Below are 27,704 nucleotides of genomic sequence, written 5' to 3' on the forward strand. Positions count from 1 at the left end.
GTTAATAAATTTTCTCCTCCCTTCCCTCAGAGGAGGGAAAGATGTAATCTCTCGCCTCTCTCCCCTTTTCTCTCTCTCTCCCTGCCACCTCCCAATTTTAATCAGCAGTGCCAATATCCAACTTCAATGGCCAATCTCCAACTCTCTATACATGGAGTCAAAGCAATAGCTAAGAAATATGTCCTCATGTTATTACAATAGTATTGATGATGACAAGGAATGGAGCACAAATAAGTTTAGATTCTTGCTCATTCTCTTTGCTAAACTACCGTTGGGTGCATTTCCCTCTCACTGAAGTGTCAGGATTCCGAATGCTGAAACAGATCACTAGCCGAAAATGCTTTTAGACACTTAAAGGTTGACTTGACTAGCAAACTTTTAACCTCAGTTTTTGCTTGATCCAAGTCAATGCCTAAATCTAGACCAGCCCTTTGACCCAATCTCTCATGGAGAGTGTTCCTGGTGAAGTCATGGAAATATGGCCAATGGCCTGTTTACAGATTTGTGTGAGTAAAGTGAAGCTTTTGCAGGGGACTGTGGCACTTCTCTTCATCGTTACTCCCACAGATTCCTACAGTAAATTTTCCTTGTACTGTGAAGAGCAAGGGCGTCTCACAGAAACTCTCGGGGATGGTATCCTCTTCTCCATTTGCACTCACCCCCAACTTTTCACCCTTCCCTCCAAATCAGAAGGAAAAAAGTTCTCTCTGCTCATCTAATGTTAATTTTTTCTCTCTCCCACCCAGGGTGTATATTTTATCCTCCTCGTAATTCTTTTTCTTTTCTTTTCTTTTTTTGAGATAGAGTCTCACTCTGTCACCCAGGCTGGAGTACAGTGGCACAGTCTCAGCTCACTGCAACCTCCAGTTCCCGGGTTCAAGCCATTCTCCTGCCTCAGCCTCCCAAGCAGCTGGGACTACAGGCAAGCGCCACCACACCCGGCTAATTTTTTTATTTTTAGTAGAGACAGGGTTTTGCCATGTTGCCCAGGCTGGTCTCAAACTCCTGACCTCAAGTGATCCACCCACCTCAGCCTCCCAAAGTGCTGGGATTACAAGCGTGCACCATTGCGCCCGGCCCCTCCTCATAACTCTTGTGGAATATTTCCCCTCAGTTATCCTCCCTTCCCTTCCAACAACAACTCCTCTTGTCTTCCTTCTTGCTTCCTATCATTCTCTTATCTTCAGTCTCATGTTCCCCAATGGCTCCTTCCTTTCTTTGCAAATATGTAAAATGTTTTCCACTTGGGGTAATAATGCAACTTCTCTTGACTGTGATCCTACCACTAACCCTGGACTCTTGTCTCTTCTTTACCTCTGAACTTGCTGTATTTATATTTTCATCATGTAATCTTCAGTATAATGACATTTAGCTTCCACCTGGCTGATGAACTAAAATTGAATTCTTAAAAACAATAGTGACTTCTTAATTATCAATTCTAGTGTAGTTTTTACAGTCCTCACTTTTCTTTTTTCTTTTTTGAGACAGAGTCTGGTTCTCTCACCCAGGCTGGAGTGCAGTGGCGCAGTCTCGGCTCACTGCAACCTCCGTCTCCCGGGTTCAAGCAATTCTCCTGCCTCACCCTCCTGAGTAGCTGGGATTACAGGGATGTGCCACCATGTCTGGATAATTTTTGTATTTTTGGTAGAGTCGGGATTCTGCCATGTTGGCCAGGCTGGTCTCAAACTCCTGACCTCAGGTGATCCACCTGCCCTGGCCTCCTAAAGTGCTGGTATTACAGGTGTGAGCCACTGTGCTCGTCCAATTTATAAATTTCTTGACCAGACTTACAAAGACTATTCACAATCTGCTTCTGACACTTTTCTATCATTTAAAAATATCATATTTCGGCCGGGCGCGGTGACTGGCGCCTGTAATCCTAGCACTTTGCGGGGCTGAGGCGGGTGAATTACAAGGTCAAGAGATCAAGACCATCCTGGCCAACATGGTGAAACCCCATCTTTACTAAAAATACAAAAATTAGCTGGGCATGGTGGTGCATCCCTGTAGTCCCAGCTACTCGGGAGGCTGAGGCGGGAGAATCGCTTGAACCCGGGAGGTGGAAGTCGCAGTGAGCTGAGATCAAGCCACTGCACTCCAGCCTGGAGAAAGAGTGAGACTCTGTCTCAAAAAAAAATGATAATAATAATGACCATATTTCAATGCTACCGCAATGCCATAAATGTTCTCTGTACTTTAGCCAGCTGGGCTCATTTTTTTCTGAAAAAATCTTCTGCGCTTCTGTGCATTCTTTCTTTGAGCTTATGCTCACTCTGATTTCCCATTTAGTCAGACAGAATGTCCTTCCTTCTCTTTTATGACAATCTAAATAAAAACATAGTAGAACTGAAGCTGAAATGGAGAGAACCACAATGTTGAATAGCTATTGTGTCATATAAAAGGGAAACATAAATAACAGGAAATGAAATAAAGGCTAAAAATTATTTAAAGAGAACTCAATTATGGTGAATCGATTTTCTGACAAAGTTGCCAAAATAATTCAATGGAGGAAAATAGTCTTTTCAATAAATGGTGCTGGGACAATTAAATATCCACACATAGAAGAATGACATTAGACCCCTACCTCAATCCTTACACAAAATGAACCTAAAATGGATTATAGAACTAAGTATGAGAGCTGAAACTATAAAACTCCTAGAATAAAACATAAGGGTAAATTTTTGTGACCCTGGCTTAGACAATGGTTTCTTGCGTATAACACGAAAACATAAGCTACAGAAGAAGAGAATAAATAAGTTGGACTTCATCACAATTAAAAACTTTGGTGCTTTAGTGAAAATAGTGAAAAGACCAATCACAGAATGAGAGAAAATATTTACAAATCATACATCTGACAAGGAACTTGTATACAGATGTACAAAGAACACTTAGAAATCAGCAATTAAAAGACAACCCAGCTGAAATATGGGCAACGGGACTTCTAGTGTGGCTTCTCCTCTGGCATGCAAGGAGCTTGGAAGTACCAGCAACTCTTCTTAGATCTGGCAGAGAAGTAAGGTCACAGGGCAAATTGCTGACCTAAAATTGGAGAAACAGACAGGCAAATACAGGGAATTGCAGCTTACTGAAGTAGGAAGCTCCTCGAGAACAGGGCAGAAGCCTCCAGAAGAGCCAGTACAGGAATCATGTTCGGCTTTCAACAAAAGATTATAAGGCAAAAAAACAGAGTTTGAAGAGACAGGGCAAGCATCAGAACTAGATTCAGATGTGGCAGGGATGCTGGAATTACCAGACTGTGAATGTAAAACAACCATGATTAATGTGCTAAGGACTCTCATGGGAAACGTAGACAGCATGCAAGAATAGACAGGTATATAAGCAGAAGATGAGAATTCTAAGAAAGAATCAAAAAGAAATGCTAAAGGTCAGAAACACTGTCAGAGAAATGCAGAATGCCATTGATGGGCTCATTAGTAGACTGGCTATGGCTGAGGACAGAATGTCCGAGCTTGAGGATATCTCAACAGAACGTTCCAAACCTGAAAAATCAAGAGAAAAAAGGCCAGGTGTGGTGGCTTATGCCTGTAATACCAGCACTTTGGGAGGCCGAGGCGGGTGGATCATGAGGTCAGGAGTTCAAGACCAGCCTGACCAACATGGTGAAACCCTAGCTCTACTAAAAATACAAAAATTAGCCAGGCGTGGAGGCATGTGCTACTCGGGAGGCTGAGGCAGGAGAATCGCTTGAACCCAGGAGGCGGAGGTTGCACTGAGCCAAGATCGCGTCACTGCACTCCAGCCTGGGTGACAGAGCAAGACTCCATCTCAAAAAAAAAAAAAAAAAAAAAAAAAAAGAGAGAGAGAAAGAAAAACACTGGAAAATAAATGGTAACAGAATATCCAAGAATTGTGGGACAATTACAAAAGGTATAACATATGCATAATGAGAATACCAGCAGAAGAAAGAAACAAAAGCAATATTTGAAGCAATAATGATTTAAAATTTCCCCAAATTAATGTTGTACACCAAGCCACAGATCCAAGAAGCTCAGAGAACATCAAATAGGTTAAATGCATAAACCCCCCAAAACAAAAAACTTCACATAGGTATATCATATTCATACTGCAGAAAACCAAAGATAAAGAAAAGAAATCTTGAAAGAAGCCACAGGAAGATTAAAAGTAATTATTTGCTATAAATAGCAAAGATAAGAATTACCTCTTCCTTCTCCTCAAAAAGCATGCAAAGAAGCAGAGAATGGAATGAAATGGTTAAAGTGTTGAGAGAAAAAAACCCACCAACCTAGAATTCTGTATTCTGTGAAATTATCCTTCAAAAGCAAAAGAGAGAGAGGGCCAGGCGTGGTGTCTCATGCCTGTAATCCCAGCACTTTGAGAGGCTGAGGTGGGTGGATCATGAAGTCAGGAGTTCGAGACCAGCCTGGTCAACATGGTGAAACCGTGTCTCAACTAAAAATACAAAAAGTTAGCCAGCTTAGTGGCGTGCATCTGTAATCCCAGCTACGCAGGTGGCTGAGGCAGGAGAATTGCTTGAACCTGGGAGGCAGAGGTTGCAGTGAGCCGATATCACGCCATTGCACTCCAGCCTGGGTGACAGGGCGAGACTCCATCTCAAAAAAAAAAAAAAAAAAAGAAAAGAAAAATAGAGGTGCTTTCTCAGGAAAACAAACATTTAAGGAATGTGTTGCCAGTAGACCTGTCTTGCAAGAAATGTTAAAGAAGTTCTTCAGAGAGAAGGATAATCATGTAGGTAAGAAACTCAGATCTATATAAGGAAGTGAAAAGTATTAGAGAAGGAGTAAATGAAGATTAAAATAAAAATGTTTATTTTTCATATTCTTAATTGATGAAAAGATAACAGTTTGTTCAAAATAATAATAGCAGGCTGGACTAGGTGGCTCATGCCTGTAATCCCAGCACTTTGGGAGGCTGAGGCAGGAGGATCGTTTGAACCTAGGAGTTTGAGGCCAGCCTGGGCAACATTGGGAGACCCCGTCTCTAAATAAAAAAAAAAAAAAAAACAAAATATAATGGCAAGAATGTATTCAAACAATTATAGCTTATTATAAAATGAAACAAATGACAACAATGACATAGAGAACAAGAAGAAATAATTAGGAGTATTTTGTTATTATAAGGTACTCACACTGCCTGCAAGGTGTAGTGTAATTTGAAAGTGGTCTTGGGTTAGTTGTAAACATATACTGCAAACTCTAGGGCAACCACTAAAAAGTAAAAAAAATATATAATTGATATGCTAAGAAAGGAGAAAAATTGAATCATATAAAATGGCCTATTAAAACTACAAGAGGCAGAAAGTGTGGAAGACAAAAACAGAAACAAGGAACAAGGGCAAAAAATAAAAAAACAGTAAAACATTTGGTGAATATTAATACAAACCCGTCACGACCACTTTTAATGTCAATGGTCTAAATACACTAATTAGAAACAGAGAGTGTCAGAGTGGACCAAAAAGAAGACCCAATTAATTATATGTTGTCTACAAGACACACACTGTTATTTACTTTTTTAAATGAGATGGGGTCTATGTTGCCCAGGCTGGTTTCAAACTCCTAGGCTTAAGCAATGCTCCTGCCTCAGCCTCCCAAGTAGGTGGGACTACATGTGCGTGCCACTGTACCTGGCCAGAAACACACTTTAAGCATAAGAACTCTCATAGATCAAAAGTAAAGAGATACAGAAAGAGATATTATCCTTGAAAGAATACAGGAGCTATACTGATTTCAGAGCAAGAAAATTTATCAGAGATGAGGAGGGGCTTTACATAATGATAAAGGGGTCAATACATAACAATTTGTAACATGTATGCACCTAACAACAAAGTGTCAAAACGTGAGGCAAGCCAGGCATGGTGGCTCATGCCTGTAATCCCAGTACTTTAGGAGGCTGAGGTGGGCAGATCACCTGAGGTCAGGAGTTCGAGATCAGCCTGGCCAACATGGCGAAACCCTGTCTCTACTAAAAACGTAAAAAAATTAGCCAGGTGTGGTGGCAGGCACCTGTAGTTAGTCCCAGCTACTCGGGAGGCTGAGGCAGGAGAATAGCTTGAACCCTGGAGGCAGAGGTTGCAGTGAGTGGAGATCACACCACTGCACTCCAACCTGGGTGACAGAGAGAGACTTTGACGAAAAACCAAAAAACAAAACAAAACAAAAAACCCAAAACAAACCATGGGAGGCAAAAACTGATAGAAGTACAAGAAGAAAATAGAGGGACCCACTATTATAGTTGGAGACTTTAATACCCCTCTATCGAAAATGGACAGATCCAGCAGGCAGAATATCAGTAAGGACATAGTTGAACTGAACGGTCCCATCAATCAACTGGATATAATTGACATCTATAGACTACTACTTCATCCAGCAATGGCAGATTACACATTCTTCTCAAGATCAAGTCCACATGGGACATTCACCAGACTCCGGGCCATAAAACACACATGAATTAATTTAAAGGAATAGAAAATCATACAACGTCTGTTCTCATACTACAGTGGAGTTAAGTTAGATGCCAATAACAGAAAGCTGGAAATTTTCAAAATACCTGGAATATGATCTTGTTTTTGTTTAAAATACATCTATAGTGAAGGCTTATATATTCATTTTAAAATAGAGAACGACATACCCCAAGAGAGGGACTGCCCAAACAGTAGTCCCTAAGAGTTTGGGTTGCAGTGGAACTTTTACTTTCCTTGTATGTTTAAATTTTTCTTTCATGAATTAGCATAGTAAGTAAAGAAGTAATTCCAAGTTGAATGAGAGAAGTTAGTATAACAAATGGCAGAGATGTGTGCTGAAATAGATCTCCAGAGATGTGAAAAAGGTAGTATGTATTTAAAGAAAAAAATAAGAAAAAATATCCAATGATGAGCTCATAATTGAACAAATTTAGAGAAATTACAAAACTGTACAGAAATGTTTAATGACAGGAAATTTTTAAAATAATATTTATACTAAACAAAAACAAATTATGAGAAGGTATCTGTAATATAATTCTATTTCTGTAAAAAAAAAAAACAAACATATATGGGCCAGGTGGCTCATGCCTGTAATCCCACCACTTTGGGAGGCCGAGGAGGGCTGATCTCGAGGTCAGGAGATTGAGACCATCCTGGCCAACATGGTGAAACCCCATCTCTACTAAAAATACAAAAAATTAGCCAGGCGTGGCGGCGCATGCCTGTAGTCCCAGCTACTCAGGAGGCCGAGACAAAGGAATCACTTGAACCCGGGAGGCGGAGGTTGCGGTAAGCTGAGATTGTGCCACTGCACTCCAGCCTGGCGACAGAGTGAGACTCTGTTAAAAAAAAAAAAAATCATATATGATTCATTTAAAAATGTTAACAGTTCCATCTAGTGGTAAGATTATGAGAAATTTGTGTTTTCTTTCTTACAATTCTTTGCACTTTTATGTATTTTACAATGAAGATTTATTACTTTTGCAATTAAAAAAGACACATTTTCAGATCAGCAGAAAGAAAAAAAAAGAAATGGATGAAGGCAGCTGTCTGTAGAAATTACACATCATAGGAGATTGCTTATAATGTTTCACTGAGGAGTTATAGTTTAGAGAAGTCCAAATAAGGTGGCTTATTGCACTCCCTGAAGGGCCTGGATGGCTGGACTGGGGCTCAGCAGCAAACCCTTACAGCCTGCCTGGGGCTAGAGGGGTAACTGGAAGTGAGTGCCAATGGGCACCATGCTTCTTTTGGGGCTGACAGAAAAGTTCTCAAGTTATATTGTTGGTTGAACAACTCTGTGAATTTACTAAAAATCACTGAATTGTATGCTAAAAAGAGTGAGTTTTATCTTAGGTAAATTATACCTAAATAAAGCTGTTTTTAAAAGAAAACAAAAATCTAGTCAGTTACATTGTGATCTGCTTGAAGGAAAACTGTGTTAACAGAAGGGCCTTCCTGGTATGTATAAAAGGGAATCTGGGCTGTTAGAATTTTCCAGGATGCACCCAGCACCACTCAGGGTAAGACACCCCGATGGTGGAGCAGTTCAGTGCCCTGAGCATTATGTGTCTTATAGATAATGAAGGCACTGGTGCACACAAACTCGATGATACTGACCATTACTAAGAGCTATGAATACTAGCTGATATTCTGTGAACATTTACTATATGCCTTTATAATCATATGGTTCTAAGAACTTAAATATATTATCTGATTTGATCCACCCAACAACTTTCTGACACATGTACAATTATAATCCCCATTTTACATTTGAAGAAATTGAAACACAGACAAGGTAAGCACCCCTTCCCTAGCATCAAAGAGCTTATAAGTGGCGAATCTGAGATGAAACCAGTAGTTTGACATGAGAACCCACAGTTTTATATATTATGCTATAGTGGATAAATATGATCTTGCCGCACATGCATTTCAGTGCAATTTAATTTGCTTTCTTCTTTTCCTTTTTTTTTTTTTTTTGGCAATAGAGTCTTGCTCTGTCACCCAGGCTGGAGTGCAGTGGCGCTATCTCGGCTCACTGTAACCTCTGCCCTCCTGGGTTCAAGCGATTCTCCCACCTCAGCCTCTCAGGTAGCTGGGACTACAGGCACACACCACCACGCCCGGCTAATGTTTGTATTTTTAGGAGAGACGGGGTTTCACCATGTTGGCCAGGCTGGTCTTAAACTCCTGACCTCAAGTGATCCACTTGCCTCAGCCTCCCAAAGTGGTGGGATTACATGCGTGAGCCACCGCAACCGCACTAATTTGCTTTTCTTTTCTTTTTCTTTTTCTTTTTTTTTTTTTTTTTTTGAGATGGAGTCTCCCTCTGTTGCCCAGGCTAAAGTGCAGTGGTATGACCTTGGCTCACTGCAACCTCCACCTCCCGGGTTCAAGCGATTCTTCTACCTCAGCCTCCCGAGTAGCTAGGACTATAGATGTGCACCGCCACTCCTGGCTAATTTTTGTATTTTTAATAGAGATGGGGTTTCACCATATTGGCCAGGCTGGTCTGGAGCTCCTGACCTCATGACGCGTCCACCTCCGCCTCCCGAAGTGCTGGGATCACAGGCGTGAGCCACTGTGCCGGCCCTAATTTGCTTTTCTTTTGTGCCCCTACCCCCTCTCCCCTGGCTTCTCATATTAACGCTTTCATCAGGTAACCTATATATTGAGCTTATTTTTTCTATGCTTATGGAGACAGCCCCCTCTTTGCTTTTCTTACTAATGATGGAAAGTCCACCAACTCACCTAGTATATATACCTCTGTTCATCATGAGTGCCGCCTTATACTATTTTTACAGGAACGTGTTCCGATTTCCACTTCAGCCCTGTCATTTAGCACATCCTAGGCCCTTCTGCCTGGGCACAAGCCAGAGATGCCAGGAGAGAACTGGGGCTGCATGTTCCAGGTCCTGCCCGGAGCTGGCCTGCGTGGTAGATACTCATCTTCTTTTCTCCAGGTGGGGGATCCCCATCTATTTCAGGGTGCTAAGAATAGCTTTGGTTGTGGGAGGGAGATTGTTATCAAACTGAACTTGGGTCTGTGCCGAGCACAGCAAAGCCAAACACTGACATCATGATTGTAGCAAGAGAAAGTGAGGCATGTATTACAGGACGTCAAGCAAGGAGACTTGGGCGATTCTCATGCTTAAGAACCAAACTCCCTGATGGCTTACATAGACAAGGTTTTATAGGAAAAGTCGTACATTTCGTTGTTTTTTTTTTCTGGAGATGGAGTCTTGCTCTGTCGTCCAGGCTGGAATACAGCAGCAAGATCTCAGCTAATGCAACCTCCACCTCCTGGGTTCAAGTGATGTTCCTGCCTCAGCCTCCCAAGTAGCTGGGATTACAGGTGCCCACGACCAGGCCTGGCTAATTTTTCTATTTTTAGTAGAGACAGGACTTCACCATGTTGGTCAGGCTGGTCTTGAACTCCTGGCCTCAAGTGATCCTCCCCTCTTGGCCTCCCAAAGTCCTGGGATTACAGGCGTGAGCCACTATGCCCGGCCTCTTGTGGAGTTTACAGGCTAGCAAGGGGGAACTTATAGAACATCATACACAAGATAAGTGAATTCGTAAGTTTGAAAGCCATTAAGTGCAATGAAGGTTATCAGAGAGATCAGGGTAAAAGGGATTGGGAGTGTGGTGATGGAGGGTTGCAACTTTAAATAGGGTGGTTGTGTTGACCTCACTGGGAAGGTAACATTTGAGCCAAAGCCTGTAGAGGTGACACTGAGCCCTGAGAAAAACAGGAAGAATCTTCCAGGCAGAAGGACCAGCCGGGGCAAAGGCCATGTGCTGGAGGAAGAGCAGCTTGCAAGAGAAACAGGAAAGAGGGAGAGAGGAGGGGAAAGTAAGAGAGCCCTGCCTTCTTAGAGCCTTGCAGAGAGGGAACTGAGGAGCTTTTGCAGGCTCAAAGGAAGACAGGATCTGGCTTACATTCTTTTTTTTTTCTGCTGCCGCAAGACTTTCTTTGTGCAGCAGGCTGAGCTGAGTAGTTGGCACAGCTTTGTTTTGTTTTGTTTTTCTAACTTACATTTATTCTTAAAGGAGCACTCTGGCTGCCATGTACAGCTTATAATTTATCAATTAGAAACTTATTAATTAAAAATGCTGAATATGTACTAACAGTAATTGTACAGTATGAGTCCACCATATAAAAAATGAGGCCAAATATGTATTTTATGTAGGAAAGAAAATACGTTTGTCTGTCAAGTGAGAATTTATGCATAGTTGTGAATTCACAGAGCATCCTCTGGAAGGACGCACGCCACTTTTTTTAGATGGAGTCTCACTCTGTCGCCCAGGCTGGATTGCAGTGGTGCAATCTTGGCTCACTGCAACTTCCACCTCCCGGGTTCAAGTGATTCTCCTGCCTCAGTCTCCTGAGTAGCTGGGATTACAAGTACCCACCACCACGCCCAGCTAATTTTTGTATTTTTAGTAGAGACGGGGTTTCACCATGTTGTCCAGGCTGGTCTCGAACTCCTGACCTCAGGTGATCCACCCACCTCAGCCTCCCAAAGTGTTGGGATTACAGGCGTGAACCACCACGCCCAGCCCCGCAGGCCACTTCTTAATAGAAGGGAGTTAGTGCGAAGGCATGAAAGAGGGGCTTTGGCACTTTACTATTTTGAATGTTTTCCACTATTTGGATTTGTTTTTTACAGAAAGCATGTGTTCCTTTGGTGATGTGTTACAGACCAGGCAGCCTTCCTGTTTGGAGGAGAAATTAGTCTCTATGGAAAGTGTCTATCGAGTTACTATTGTACTCAGTCCCATGACAGGCCCTTTGGGAACATGAAACAAGATTTGAAGCAATTCCTACTCTTGAGAATACTTTTCAAGATAGAAAAGTGGGCATAGGGGATTTTCTCTCTCCTTCCTGAATTCAACATGATGATAGAGAATAAATTAGATGTTCAAGTATAAACCTTTCACTACAACAGAAACAACTGTGGTGTAATTTGAAATATATTTGGTCTCTGTCCCCAGTTCTGGCCATAGAGCACCTAAAACCCCTGAATTTTTTTTTTTTCTTTTTCTTTTCTTCTTTTTTTTTTTTTGAGATGGAGTTTCACTCTTGATGCTCAGGCTGGAGTGCAATGGCGCGATCTCGGCTCACCGCAACCTCTGCCTCCCAGGTTCAAGCGATTCTCCTGCCTCAGCCTCTCAGACCCTTAACTGTGATCCCCCAGGCTCTAGCCATCTAACAGGTGACAAAACTGCATTTAGCAAGCCACATCGCCTGAATCTAACATTCAGAGTCCAGATTCACTTTCTTGCAGGCTTCCAGCACCATCTGGCTACATTGTTCTTAGGCTTTTCTAATAAGAACTGGTCCCCATACTCACAGACAGTTGCTTTGCAACTACCATATTGCATCAATTTCACATTTTCACATTTCTGAAAAGCAGGCTGCATCTCACAATCAGTTGGTCTCACAGTTGATGTTGGCCCAGTGGCCTCAAGACTAGTTCCTATGGCCTAGATCTGCATGAAGTTGGACATAGCTGTTCATAAGGCCATCCATTCACCTTATATATACACACATTATGGAGTGTACAAGTTGAGTTTAATTGCTTTCAAGTGCTTTCTAGATCTGTACCATCCAATATGGTAGCCACTAGCCAAATGTGGTTACTGAGAGCTTGCAGTGTGAGTAGTCCAAATTGAGATGTGCTGAAGTATGAAAACAGAATGAAAAGTATCTCATTAGGGATTTTCATATCAATTACATAAAGATAATATTTTAGATACATTGAGTTAAATAAAATATAGCGTTAAAATTAATTTTGCCTGTATCTTTCACCTTTTCTCTTTTAAAATAATTTTTTTTGTAGAGACAGGGTCTTGCTATGTTGCCCAGCTGGTCTCCAACTCTTGGCCTCACATGATCCTCCCACCTCAGTCTCTTATAGTGCTGGGATTACAGATGTGAGCCATTATGTTGGCCTCTTTCACCTTTTCTAATGTGGCTACCTGGAAGATCACATTAAAATCACATCAGTGACTTGCATTCTATTTCTATTGGACAAGGCTGATCTCAAAGATAACACTGATTTAGTAGTGGTCATGGTAGGCACTGAATACGGCAGCAGATGTATGATAAAAACCAATGCCTAAATAGATCTAAAAGAGCTCTTCTTCTCTAAAACAAAGTAGATATAAAATAAAAATTATAAGTGATTACAGAGCATGTCAGAGTTTAAATGGGAGTGTGTTCTTTCTTGGCGAATGAATACTTATGAAGATCTGTGCACCCCAAACCCAGACGAAGAATATCGGGAACACCACTGAAGCCTTCTGTCTCCATCCTCAGTTCCATCTTTCTCCCTCCCTAATCCCAGGGATAACCACCCTCCTGAATTTTGTGTTTAGCATTCTCCTCCTTTTTTATTTCTATTTTTCACATGTGCATGTATCCCTGACAACATACTCTATTGTCATTTCTGCATGTGTTTGAACCTTACGTAAACAAAAGCATCCTATAGATATCTCCTGCAAACTTACACCTCTCTTTTTTTGAGATGGAGTTTCACTCTTGTCGCCCAGGCTGGAGTGCAATGGCACAATCTCAGCTCACTGCAACCTCCGCCTCCCAGGTTCAAGGGATTTTCCTGCCTCAGTCTGCTGAGTAGCTAGGATTACAGGCACCTGCCACCACAACCAACTAATTTTTGTGTTTTTAGTAGAGACGGAGTCTCACCGTGTTGGCCAGGCTGGTCTTGAACTCCTGACCTCAGGTGATCCACCCACCTCGGCCTCCCAAAGTGCTGGGATTACAGGCATGAGTCACCGTGCCCAGTCACATCTCCCTTTTAAACATTTTATTTTTAATTGTGGTAAAAACATATAACAAAATTTACCATCATAACCATTTGTAAGTGTAATATTCAGTAGTGTTAACTGCATGCGCATCATTGTGTAACGCATCTCCAGAAGCCTTTCATCTTGTAAAACTGAAACCTTATACCCACTGAAAAACTCCCACTTCTCCCTTCTCCCGAACCCTGGCAGCCACCATTCTGCGTTCTGTCTCTGAGCGTGACTACTCTAGGACCCTCATATTAGTGAAATCATACAATATTGGTTTCTTGGGGACTGTCTTATTTCACTTAGCATGATGTCCTCCGGGTTCATCCACGTTATAGAGTAATACTCCATTGTGGGTTGCACGCTTCAGTTTGTTTATCCATTCATCTGTGGGGAGGCGATTGAGTAGCTTCTACCTCTTTGCGATTGTGAATAAAGCTGCTCTGAAGGTGTATGCTTCCTATTTTTAGTGTCACCTGGAATGAGGTTTTCTTTTTTACTGGCCCGCAAATCACTCTAATTGACCTATTCAGGGCATCAGCACAGAATTCTAATAAATAGAATAGAACTCTAACAAATAAAAAGAAAAGATTTATCACAATTCTCAAAGTAAAAGCATGACTTTAAAAAATGATTGTTTCCTGTGAGTGAGAGGAGATGCTCACATTCCTGCTTTCCCCTAAAGAATCCTGATGATACTTGGGCACTGGGTCAGTTTGTCAGTTTCCACATCCCACAGCTTTCTTTCCACCTTATTTCTATTAATTTACAAAACTTCAGCTCTCAGTTATAAGTCTCCTGCAATGACAGCTAGTGTTTGGTGGCCCTGCCAGGTGGCTTACAATTTACTCATGTAACAAACATGTCACTGAGTTCTCTACAAAAGCAAACATGATGGGGTGATTTCCCTCTGAAGTCTCCTCTCAGCTGCTGAGCAGTTGATCGTCTCAGCTGAGGACAGCTTGGCAAAGAGATAATAAATCCATGCTTGGTTGTATTTGCCTTGGAAAGATGTTTTCAGGTTCTCTTGCAGCATTTGAATGTAATTTTAAAGGACACTCAATCGCATGCCATTGATTTCTGTCACTGAGGGGTGAAGGAGTTTACTAAGGATTTGGGAAAAGTGAAACCTTCTGCAGTGCAGCCATTGTACTACAGCTTGGACTTCCTAAGCCAGTCTGACATGGCATCTTCCACATTAATAGTGCAGACTTTTCAGTCCTGACAAGCAGAGCAGGCTATATAAAGTCATGATTACTTGGTGAAGACCCTCGGGGCCGCAAGCAGCCAATTAAAGCAGCCAAACTGGACTCGTGGATTAACACATGAAATAATTTTTTTTAAATCTCATTTGCATTTCAAAAACCTTAACAAGTACTACTTTTCTCTCAACATCTAATTGTCTTGAGCATGAAAACAGGGTATAAAATGTATATGTGTTATTTAAAGAATAAAAAGACAAGGAACAAAGACTAAAAATGCACTCACCAATGGGTTAAGAAACAGTATCATGAGACCTCTGGATGGCCGTCTCCAAGTGAATCCCTTCCCTCCAACCACAGTCTACCCCACTCTCAGTTCTGTGGACGTCACTGCCTTGTTATTCTCTATAGTTTTGCTATTGATTTACATGTCCCTAACATGACAGTATTTACTTTTGAAAACGGAGTAGCAAGCCATGGATGAAAGGGAAAGCAATGTTTCCCAAGCTAGAGGCAGGCTCCCAGGGGACTGTGATCTGCACAGAGGCAGGTCCCTGTCTGGTTTCCACTTCCTGCGAGTTCACACGGGTCTCTTTGGGGAAGCCAAAGGGCAAAGTTTTGACTGAGTCTGGGATAACAGCACCACTGTCAGGACATCTGGTAGGACTACACAGTGGGCCAGAGATGGCAATTCAGCCAAAATGCAGTCAGGGAACGGGCACTGCTCTACATTTTTTGTATTTTCTGTAATTTTTGCTCCCTATGGCCAAGTATCAAACCTCAGGAGTGGATCAAAGCAGAACTCTTTGGGGTACAGTGAATGCTCTCTGTCTTTTTGCTCTCTCTCTTTTTTCACCAGGCTGCCAGGCTGTCTTTTTCATCTTTTTCTTGTGCACATTCCTCTACTTTATCTTCTAACCTTTCTATTTTGTTTTCATTCACTTAGCTTATAAGAGCTGTTTTTAGGCTGGGCGTGGTGGCTCACATCTGTAATCCCAACACTTTGGGAGGCTGAAGCGGGTGGATTGCTTGAGCCCCAGATTTTGAGACCAGCCTGGGTAACATGGCAAAAACCTATCTCTACAAAAAATACAAAACTTAGCCAGGCATAGTGGTGCACCTATAGTCCCAGCTACATGTGAGGCTAAGGTGGGAGGATCCACTGAGCCCCGGAGACTGAGGCTGTAGTAAGCCATGATCATGCCTCTCCACACCAGCCTGGACAACAGAGTGAGACCCTTTCTAAATAAATAAATAAGAAGAAGATTTAAAAAGAGCTATTTTTATCCCAAATGTTCCTTTTCATGTGATTCATTCTTGTTTCATGGTGCAAAATTATCTTCTCTTATCCCTCAAAGATACACTGATTGTTCTTTTGAAGTTTTCTTCTGCCAACATAGTCTCTCTTTTTTGTCCCTGTTTGTTTTGGCCCCTACCTTCCATTATAGAGGCAGTCCTCTGACGGTCTGGGGATCATTGGTCATCTGCTCAGTAAGAGTGAAGTGCTCAAAAGCTGGCAGGAGGCTCTGCACGCATTGGTGGGACTCACGGACTTTGGGTGAACCCTTTGTGGGAGGGTCCCTTGATGTGATGAGTATGTTTAGGTTTTTCCTGAGCTGGTAGGATTCTCCAGAGATTTCCATTTGTCTGCACTGAGGGTAGGGGTTGCACTTTATTTATTTTTTCTACTTTTGTTTTTGTTTGTTTTTGTTTTTTTGAGACTGAGTCTCACTCTGTTGCCCAGGCTGGAGTGCAGTGGTGAGATCTCGGCTCACTGCAACCTCCACCTCTTGGGTTCAAGCGATTCTCCTGCCTCAGCCTCCAGAGTAGCTGGGATTACAGGTGCCTGCCACCACCCCCGGCTAATTTTTGTATTTTTAGTAGAGACTGGGTTTCGTCATGTTGGCCAGGCTGGTCTCAAACTCCTGACCTCAGGTGATCTGCCTGTCTCGGCCTCCCAAAGTGCTGGGATTACAGGCGTGAGCCACCGTGCCCAGCCTGTTTTTTCTACTTTTATTTTAGCTTCAGAGAGTACGCGCGCAGGTTTGTTACATGAGTTAATTGCATGTCACTGAGTTTTCTAAAGTGAGACCATTTGTACACAAAGGGTCTCATTTTTAGAGAATGTTGAATGCTGAGTTGGGGGCCTTGCATCTAGCACTTACACATTCACACAACTCCTTGTTTGTCTGTGGGTTTATTTATTGTTTTTTGGTATGATATTTACACCCCCTGCTGGGCCTGGCACTCCCCCAGTTGGGTGACCTGAACCTGTTTTAGTTTCTCTGTAGAAAAAAAAACCTTTAGATTTCCACCAGGTGGAAGCAGGGGCATTTACCCAGAGTCATGAAATGTGGGCAGGCACTAGGTCAACCTTCTCATCAAGGACCTTCTCTTAGCCCACCTTCCCCATCACCCCAGTTCCAGTGGCTCCTCGTGTTGCCTGTAGCACAGTTGTTGGAAGATTCTGAGGTGTAATCTCATCTGGTTCTCAGCTTTCTCAAGTCTGCCACGCCAGCAACGTCACAGCCATCTGCCTGCCAGCTTCCAAAATGTTATTGCTGTTAGCATCTTTATTTTATGTGATGTCTTTAAAAGCAAATTCTGGTGTCGAAGTTTGGTCCAGGTTTCAGTAAGTATAAAATTATTTACAGATTTCAATCCATCATCTTAACTTACAAATTCATTAGCCTCATTCTTTACTCCTTTCTGTCTATGGCAGGATGAAAATGCAGGGTCCACATTTGATTGTGTGTTCAGTTTTCACAGTGTCTTCTAAAACTAAATTACAACCAAGAAAGGCCTCCCTGGGAGTAAGACAGAGTGTGGACAGCCATTCAGAGACTGTTCCTTTCTTTTTAGAGCAGGAGTCTTCCTTCCTGTTCCCTTCCAGATGTTCCTTTGGTAGGAGAATCTGGGCATCTGTTTAAGCCTACAAACCATCTCCCACAGTAACTGGTGACAAAGAGAACAAAGCATTGTTGTGTCTTTCTTCTTCATGTATATATACAATACGTATCAAAAGCAGTAAACTAGCTCACATTTGCTATTGTAAATGCTTTGTCACATTGTATATTGTCAAACGGTAGAGGCCAAAGGAAAACGTCTCCCACCTTTTTTTTTTTTTTTTTTGAGACAGGGTCTTACTCTGTCACCCAGGTTGGAGCGCAGTGGCGCGATTTTGGCTCACTGCAACCTCCATCTCCCGAGTTCAAGCAATTCTTCTGCCTCAGCCTCCTGAGTAGCTGGGATTACAAGTGTGCACCACCACACTCGACTTATTTTTCTTTATAGTAAAGATAGGGTTTCACCATGTTGGCCAGGCTGGTCTTGAACTCCTGACTTCAAGTGATCTGCCTGCCTCAGCTTCCCACAGTGCTGGGATTACAGGCATGAGACACTGCACTTGGCCACCTTCCCCTTTGCTCTCTGAAGTTAAGCTGAAAAATCAACTGACAAAAGGCAGATCGATAGGAGAAATGGCATAGAAATTTACTAGAGTACATAGGGGGAAAACCATAGTGATTACCCTACCACTCAATGGGGTATAGATGGTTATACGTTCGTCTTCTTGGGGGCAAGGGTGATGGAGCCGTGTGGATTATTTTATGGGGACAGTAAAAGATTTGAGAGGGTGGAATTCTACAGGCTTGAAGAATGTACAATGGCCTGGGACAGAGTATGTTGGACACACAGAGCAGACAATGGTTTCTGACAAAAGTCTGTCCAAGTGTGTTGACAGACTTAATGTTTTTTTCTTTTTAAACTTTGTTTTTCTTTTGCTCTTGAGAGACAGTCTTTCTTCATGTGATATGAGTTCAGTTAATGAAAACTCAGGGACAGGATTTGGAGGTAATTGTTTTCTTTGGCAAATCTGGACTCCAGGGAGGTAAGGGAACTTCAGAGAACAACTTTAGCCTGTGCTTTGTGGGAGGTCATACAGAATTGAGAGATAGCACATGGGAAAGGTCACAGAGGCCTTGAGGCTTCTTCCATTCAGCATGTCAAAGGGCCATATTTTGGGGTATTGGTTTCTGAGCCCCAACAGTACCATATTTATACAATAAGATCTTTGATAAAGCTGTTTGGCCAATAGCTCATTGTATTTTTCTCTAAGAACATACATGATTAACTCTGTAGCCGGGTTTATGATTCTTTACAATAATGTAATATACATCCGTTTGTATTTCAATAAGTAAGACATTTGAATAATGTGTTGGACATTTTTGTCTTTATTTTATTTAGCAATGAAATCAGTTTTGTCCTAGAAGGTAATTCTTTGTTGTTTTTTTACGGAGAAACTCTACTGGTTTATTAGAATGCTACTGTGTTTGTTTATTTAATCAATCAGAAGTTTCAGTGGTAACGTAGGAACAAAGGGAAAGCTTCTCCTTTACCCTCAGAATGGTAGTTGAAAACGAATTGTGAAAAAGGCATACAAATTTTTAATCTTCCTTTTTTATTAAAAGACAGAGTCTTGCTATTTTGCCCAGGGTGGAGTGAAGTGGCTATTCACAGATGCAGTCATAGCTCATAGCAGCCTCAAACTCCTGGGCTCAGGCAATCCTCCTGCCTCGCCCTACCAAATAGTTGAGACTACAGGTGTGAGCCACTGCAGCTGGCCAAATGTTTAACAATAATTGTTTTTTAGAACATGTTTACTTAGAAAAGTTTTCTCAAACCTTTTTGGTAATAAAAACTCCTAGAGTTTTGCTAAGCTAAATTAAATAATGGATATTCATTAACTATCTAGATGATATCCAAATATGATATAATGCCAAGACATTAATGATTAAATATGAGTTTAATCTCCTATACTTTTGGCTTCCTATTTTAGAGAAATAAAACTTATTTAGATCTGTTAGTAAATATGTCCTGTTTCACACTGAAAAACTTTCGTTAGAGTCTATGTTTCTAAAAATAATAAAATGTGTATCATAAATTGTTAGTATGTGACTAACAGTTAAAATTGCTTACTTTCTAGGTTTTTCACTGAAAATTAGGGTTTCTAAGAGTTAACTTTGTAATTAATATATATATAAACTAAAACCACCAAGTATAAGATAAACAATTTTGTATGCAAAGTGTAATAAGAAAAGTAGAATGTGGTTTTGGGAAAAAATTATACAACATCATGAGAATATGGTTTTTGTTATAGGGAATATAATTTTGTCAGTTTAGAGGTTTTGAAAGTTTTTTTTAATTAAAGGAATAAAAAATAGATAAACCTAAATGGAAATAAAAAATTGGAGAAAGAAAGAATAAAAAAATTGTAAGAGGTTATAAAAGGTTTATGGAAACCTTATCGCGTGTGGTCAAAACTGATTATAATTGAATGGATCCGTTTATCAGGTTTTATTAGTTTTAGCATTAATAATACACTGATGCAAAGGTAAAATTCGTTTTCCTCTTTTAAACAAGATTTCCAGGTAGCATTAACAAGAGATAGTAAAAGGTTTTTCTTTAGCTTTAGGTAAACTACACACACACACACACACACACACACACGAGAGAGAGAGAGGAGAGGGGGAGAAGAGAGAAGACGAGACAGATTCTTAGATTCTGTTGGTCTCATGCTGTCGTTATTTGGTCTTTTTTGTTTTGTTTTGTTTTGTTTTGAGATGGAGTCTCACTCTGTTGCCCAGGCTGTGGTGCAGTGGCACCACCTTGGCTCACTGCAACCTCTGCCTCCTGGGTTCAAGTGATCCTCCTGCCTTAGCTTTCCAAGTAGCTGGGATTACAAGTGTGTGCCACCACAACCAGCTAATTTTTGTATTTTTGGTAGAGATGGGGTTTCACCACGTTGGCCAGCTGGTCTCAAACTCCTGACCTCAAATGATCTGCCTGCCTCAGCCTCCCAAATTGCTGGGATTACAAGTGTGAGCCCCCACACCTGGCCCTTTATTTGGCTTTTGATTGTTTGGAAAACTGAGTCTCCTCTCCACCAAAAAGTAAAGATTTTTGCTTTTTGAAATCTTTAAATTATCACTTTGGCTAGACAAATGACTTATTTTACAGTGACCTGTTATCCTATTCTGATCAAGTGTTTTAAACCTTTGATATTTGATAAACTTCCCTAAAACAAATTTTAAATTCTAAATTCAATCTTCTTGACCTCAAATGAACTTTTTTACTATTGGGGCCCCTGGAAGTCCAGGATTGATATATTAGGCTTAATTGTTGTGTTAAAATCATTCAGGAAGCATTATCAAATAAGAAATGGTGTTTAACATTTTTTAGTTATATTTGTATAAATGTGTTGTTACTAGTATTTGTCCCCAAATTGTATGAGATGCCTAAAATTCAGATATGTGTTGGTAAGTACTCTTGAGCACAGGTTCCTGATAACTTTAGAGATCCTACCACTGGATTCAGTAAAAACTTCCAGAATTATAAATACAAATCTTACAGATTCATGAAGATTGCTAACCCAACATCAAGCAAAATAAAAGTTAATTACCTGGAGCTGAACTGATAGAGAACTGAAATGCTTTTCTATGACTTTTTGTTTGAAACATTGCTGATGCTTTTTAGGTTTTGTTTTCCAGAGTTAAGAAAACTTTTTTTTTTTAAGCTATTGGGTAAAGTACACTTTTGTGAGAAAAACTGAAACATTTACCTTTCTCACCACCTGATTTCTTCAAAATTTGGAAACTATTTGTGAGTATTCTTAATTTATGGCATTACAGTTATTTGCAAAAATTCAATAAGAACCCGTTTTCTTTTGTAATGGACATAATTGAATACACTGGTTATTTTACCAAGACTTTGACTGGAATGACATAATTTTGGATATGAGCAGACTGCTTTGAGGAATCATGGTTGACTTTATGCAGCTGATAAAAAGCCCTTTGGAAAGACTGGCCTGGTATCTTGTCTACAGTTTCTTTACAAGGTTCCTGAACTTGCAATAAGTAAAGAATGTTACTTTCTGACAGGTCCAAGAAACTCAAGATATTTTGGGGACTTCTAGAAGAGAGGAATTAACCCAAATCATACAGGTATTACAGGCACAGTTTGATGGTGAATCATTGGCTAGGGTTCCTAGTTTCAAGAGGCTTTTAAAAGCCTAATTTGAAATTCTTTATGAAAAAGCCCCAGAAAAGCCAACTTTAAAAGAGCCCATATAACCAACCAACCAATCATTATTCTTGCTACACTTTTTTGTTTATTAAAGACATGGGATCCTGCTCTGTGTCACTCTGCCTGGAGTGCAGTGGCACGATCATGGCTCACTAAAGCCTTAAAGTCTTGCGCTCAAGAGATCTTCCCACTTCAGCCTCTCAAGTAATTGGAATTATAGTACCAAGCCACAGTGCCCAGCTCTTGCTTCACTTTATGCAATAAGTCAGCAAGTATAATAAGACTACAATTTGGCTGGGCGTGGTGGCTCATGCCTGTAATCCCAGCCCTTTGGGAGGCCAAGGAGGGCAGATCATGAGGTCAGGAGATAAAGACTATCCTGGCTAACATGATGAAACCCTGTCTGTACTAAAAATACAAAAAGTTAGCTGGGCATGGTGGCATGTGTCTGCAGTCCCAGCTACTCGGGAGGCTGAGGCAGGAGAAAGGCATGAACCTGGGAGGCAGAGGTTGCAGTGAGCCGAGATTGCGCCATTGCACTCCAGCCTGGGAGACAGAGCGAGACTCCATTTCAAAAAAAAAAAAAAAAAAAAGACTGCAACTTATTTTGCAAATAAATTGGTCCTACTATATTTTAACCTTGGTAGAAATGGGGAACTGCAGAGAGAAAAATTATGTTTCAGAAGAAAACTGTAGTACACTTGTTAGATTCTTACCTTGTCCATTGTTTTTGCGTTTTTATTATTTGCCTCCGGTTTGGACTGAATGCTGAATTCTTTGCTGGCAACAAGTCTCCAAAGTAATATTTTCAGATTTGCATCTCATTTTGCTGACTTGGAATTATTAGAAATTAAAACTCTGCTCTTTATTAGAGCTCTGCAAACTGATGCTAAACAATCTGGTATAAACTTTGAGAAAAATCACCACAGCAACTTATATAAAAACAGTCTTCATGTCTGCTGCTGTGTAAACTACTCAGAAAGTTTGCTTGAACACCTGATTTGAACTATAAACCAGAAAAATCTGTCAGATTGCTACTGCAATCTGATGATACTTCAGAAACTCTAGAACAGCTAGTTTATAGATAGACCACTTCAGACATTACTCTGTTTTTCTTCTGTTTCCATAGAAATGCCTCTTATTAAAGATCTGTTTACCTGCATTGTATAGAGAGGCCTAGCCCATCTGCAATGCCATCTTCTGGAATGGGAGAAAATGGTTTAACTGAACTGATGTATTTTCAGAACTAAGAGACTTGGCCGGGCACAGTGGCTCACACCTGTAATCCCAGCACTGTGGAAGGCCAACATGGGTGGATCATCTGAGGCCAGGAGTTTGAGACCAGCCAGCCAGCCTGGCAAACATGGTGAAACCCCGTCTCTTCCAAAAATACAAAAATTAGCTGGGTGTGGTGATGCATGCCTGTAGTCCCAGCTACTGAGGAGGCTTAGGTGGGAGAATGGCTTGAACCCAGGAGGTGGAGGTTGCAGTGAGCCAAGATCACACCACTGCACTCCAGCCTGAAAGACAGTGAGACGCTGTCTCAGAAAAAAAAAAAAGAGAGAGAAAAAGAAATGAGACTAATTCAAGAATATATGGACAATATATTTAAATTTGCTCTTTTTTGCTTGTCCCAAATTTTTCCCACTCCTTTGCCTATCTCTATCTAACAACTTCTAACCCAAATCTCTCCAAAGCCATCAACATGGCTTTTAATATGTGAAAGTTTTTTAAAGTTTCAAAGTAGGACTGACAGAAATAAAAATATTTTACCCCCAAAATATCCTTCTTTGATACATTTTGAGGTGTCTGTTCAGAGAGCCAGCAAACAGAAGTAGCCCTGCAAAGTTGTCTTTCGTGGGGAGATTTGCATCGTACACAATCTGCCTTGATGCAGCCTGGCTTCTTCTGAGCCTTCCCTTGTTTGATGTAGGAAAGATTAACTGAGAGTTTGACACCTTTGAAGGTGGGAAACATTTACCATGTATTCTTTCTGAAGGCTGCTACCTGTGAGGTTTCATCTACATAGCAAGACCACCTTTGCTAGCCAGGCCTCCTCTTCTCTCCCTGCCATAACCTGTCATGCACCATAACCTGATTTACCACCATAACTTGTTTTGGGCCATTCTCTGAGCTCCCATTCTCTTCGTAACCTCAAGATGGTATGTAAGCTTCTGTAACCCACTGGGCGTTTGGAGCAATCATTCTGTGGTTCTTTCCTATGTGCACATAAATAAATTCGTATGCCTTTTCTCCAGTGAATCTGCCTTTTGCGAGTTATTTTTTTCAGCAAACCTTCAGAGGGCAAAAAGGACATTTTTCCCTTGGCTCCTACAGGGGTGTTGTTTTCTGAGCCATAATAAGCTCATCTGGCCAGGTCTTATATTTTGCTCAGGGGACTTGGGGAAGGAGAACTTTGATTTAATCTAACACGTTTTTCAGATGTTCATTGTGGCACTTCTTACCCACTTTCACTTATCAGCTGCCTCTGTAAGATCATCACACCTGCAGCTTTGCTTGACGCAGTGAGTCCTGGTTGTGATTCTACAGCATTCTGGAATCATGAGCACAATGTGCATTCACAGATGATTCTGATGCGTGAAATATCCACTACTGTCTTCTCACTTCTTACTTTCACTCTTCAGCTGCTTATGTAAGATCATCATACCTGCAGATTTGCTTGACTCAGTGAGTCCTGGTTGCCATCCTACATCATTCTGGAATCGTGAGCACTATGTGCGTTCACAGATGATTCTGATGTGTGGAATATCCACTACTGTCTCCATCATTATTTTAGGTTTCAATGAATACCTTCGAGCCACTGATTCAATCTAATATAACCCAATAGCAATGATAAAGATTGCAGACTTACTAAACAGAAATAAGCAAATGTTGTGAAAAATATATTAACCAGAATGAACTGTATCCTGCTAATTGAATGTTATTTAAGAACATTTGATTAATGTCATCTTCGTGGAAAATGCTCAACATTTAAATACGCAGGAGCTATTAGGAACAAAATGAGATTTCTGGGAAATCATTACTATGTTATTTTCAATTTATGAAGTGTGACTACAACTGTTTCATTTGGGAAAGGAAAGTAGCTCAGAGCAGTCGGAAGAATCTGAGGAATGCAAAATTTATCAGAGAGACAGGAGAGTCTCATTAACCCTATGCCCAGGGTTAATTGTTTAAAGGCATTTTGTATTTTTCTTCTATTGCCTATAGTTTCCAGACCAGCTGATAAATTACCTAAAATGCTATGAGTTGCACAATGTGACCCTCACCCATATCTTCATTTTTCTGGAATTTGTGATACAAAGAACAGCGCATAGCCAGTCAATAGCTTATACTATTTTGAGTGAGTCACTGTGGCATGCACCTGTAATCCCAGCTACACGGGAGGCTGAGGTGAGAGATCACTTGAGTACAGGAGTTCAAGACCAGCCTGGGCAACACAGGGGGAAACCTTGTCTCAACAAGAAGAAGAAGAAAAAAAGAAGCTTACGGTATTTTAATGAACCAATGTAAATACTTGGTAAACAACTTTAGAACTACCTCTTCTTTTTTCCCTTTAAAAACCCACTTATAATTGCCGATTGGAGCATATATTCTGGGCAACTTGAATCAATGTCCCCAGGGTTGCAGTCCTCAAACTTGGCTCAAATAAGCTCTCTACTTATATTAATTTTGCCTTGGCTTCTTCCTTTAGGCCAACAGATTGCCTTTTCTTCTGAAACCCCAAAGCACCTGTGGCTCACTGCAGCGATTACTGGGTTCCATGCTTTGGGAATGCTAGTCTAAGTGAGAAGACTCCTTGGGGAGGAGATGGGAGCCCATAGGAACCTGAAGATTCCCCTGCAGAACAGCAGGCCTTTTAAGCTCCTCCCTCCTGGCTTTCACTTGTAATCAGTTGGAGGCTCCATCAAGCCAAACAAGACATCTGCCCCTTTTTCAGTTCTCTCAGCTGTCACTTTTCATCTAGACTTCATTAGCTCCTGCCTGGTCTTTCCCCAAAATGCCTAATGGACTTTCCTGGCTGATTTCCTTGATCCCTTACCCTTGAGTCTGGCTGTCTTCCCAGGGGAGCCGCTTGTCTGACATGGCAGCTGGCACAGAGTAGGCACTCAGTAATTTTAGGCCTTCTGCTTTAGTTGTCAGAGGGTGAATTGACAACACGATTGATTGACAGGGAATGCAATTTACTACTGCTGATATAACAACCAGAACTGAAAATATGACAATCAGACTTAGCTCCTCAGAGAGGGGAAAAGTCTGTGGTCTTGGCCAGGAACAGATCAGTTGAGTGGATTTATATACCAACACAATGGATGACAAAGGTGACAGTGTCCTGTCACGATGGCTTCAGGGAATGAGCGGTGTGGGCAGCTCAAACAACCCATCTGGGGCTAACGTGGAGGGGGAGAGAGCTCATCAATCTTGAGCAGATATTAGATGCGGAGGCCAGATTGCTTTCTTGTGTGGGTTTTATAGCTGTGCACATTCAACTATTAAGGACAACCTTTATTACTAAAATTTTTGTAGGACGGGTGCGGTGGCTCACGCCCATAATCCCAGCACTTTGGGAGACCAAGGGGAGCAGATCACGGGGTCAGGAGATCAAGACCATCCTGGCTAACACGGTGAAACCCTGTCTCTACTAACAATACAAAAATTAGCTGGGCATGGTGGTGGGCGCCGGTAGTCCCAGCTACTCGGGAGGCTGAGGCAGGAGAATCACTTGAACCCAGGAGGCGGAGGTTGCAGTGAGCCGAGATCGTGCCATTGCACTCCAGCCTGGGCGACAGAGTGAGACTTTGTCTCAAAAAAAAAAAAAAAAAAAGGAAAAATTAATTTTGTCATAGAGGATGAAACTCTTAATCCTTCCTTTGAAGTAATTACTTTTAGAGAGCTTGTTTGGAGGTTCTAGCAGGGGAGTGCAGCTACTCATATACCCTTGCCCAAAGAACGGCCCTCCTCTGTTGGGGAAGGTTGTCCGCAGCGTCTGGAAGGACGCATGTGGACGGATGAGGGAGGAAGGAGACATCCACCTAGCCAGCCAGATCAGACAAATTAACCCTGGCCATCAGTGGGGTGACAGATGTTGCAGCCAGATCACCCTCACATCCGGAAATAATTGCTTTTAAAACGCAATATTTGAAAACCTGAATTTTCTTGGGTAAGCAACTATTATATTGCTAATTTAACGAAACTTTTTTTAAAAATATTAATATACTTAAATTTTAGAGCAATTTTAGAATTGGTTAGAAAGTACAATGTTCCCACAACCCCCCTTCTCTGCACCATACACACAGCTTTCCCCTTTTTTTTTTACTACTTATGTTTGTGTGGTACGTTTGTTATACTTGATGAGCCGGTATCAATGCATGGTTACTAACTAAAGCCCATACTTCACAGTTTACATTACGGTCCATTCTTGGTGTTGTGCATTCTATGAGATTTCACAATGTGCAATTACATATATCCACTTTGATAGTATCATACAGAGCAGTGTTTTTTTTTTTTCTTTGAGATAGGCTCTCATTCTGTCACCCCAGCTGGAGTGCAGTGGCGTGAACACAGGTCACTGCAGCCTCAACCTCCCAGGCTCAGGTGATCCTCCCATCAGCCTCCCAAGTGGCAGAGGAAAAACAAAGGACACTGGGTGTGAGGGAGAGGTGCAAAGTCAGGACCAAGCATCCATGGGAACACAGGGGAGGATGAAGGCACTGAGGTTGGGGAGAGAGAGCAGAGCTATCAGTGTTGAAGGCCGGAAAGGATGAGGGAGTCTGCAGGCTCGGCCCGATCAACTGGTTCCAGCTTCTGTGACCTGCCTGGAGGAAGATGAAACAGGCTCCTCATCCTTATTGGTAAAGATAAACCCAAATCCCATCTCACCTCCCAGCTCTGGTCTTCCCACCTTAGCCACTGCCCACCTCACTCCATCTCTCCTTGCCAAGCCTAGACTGGCTTAGTTTTCACTGCTCTGTGGTCTCACAGTGCCCCGTGGCTATGGCTGTAGATGCACTTACCACTTGTTTTACAGTTGTCTCTTCACGTGGTCATATCTGTCTTGAGTCTCTGCACTCCCAGGGCAGAGGCTGGGTCTCATTCATCCAGCAGCCCCAAGGCCCAGCCCC

At 41.6% G+C, this 27,704-nt stretch overlaps 1 protein-coding gene and 1 pseudogene across 3 annotated transcripts in view; both read right to left on the reverse strand.

Moving 5' to 3' along the window:
* C9orf153 (chromosome 9 open reading frame 153) overlaps positions 1-27,704 on the reverse strand; it is a 39,393-nt gene extending 11,689 nt beyond the window's left edge. Inside the window, exons 1-2 of one of the 3 annotated variants that reach the window (NM_001276367.4) lie at positions 27,597-27,704; positions 5,129-5,207 (exon numbers count right to left, since the gene is read on the reverse strand). The gene's annotated coding sequence lies outside the window, so the exon portion shown is untranslated. Of the gene's footprint in view, positions 1-5,128; positions 5,208-24,033; positions 24,081-27,596 lie in introns of those variants that run through there. The other 2 variants (NM_001276368.4, NM_001276366.4) reach the window with 2 other exon arrangements.
* On the reverse strand, positions 26,472-26,693 carry RN7SKP264 (RN7SK pseudogene 264; annotated as a pseudogene).

The sequence above is a fragment of the Homo sapiens genome, chromosome 9, assembly GCF_000001405.40.
Source record: "Homo sapiens chromosome 9, GRCh38.p14 Primary Assembly".
Taxonomy (NCBI): domain Eukaryota; kingdom Metazoa; phylum Chordata; class Mammalia; order Primates; family Hominidae; genus Homo; species Homo sapiens.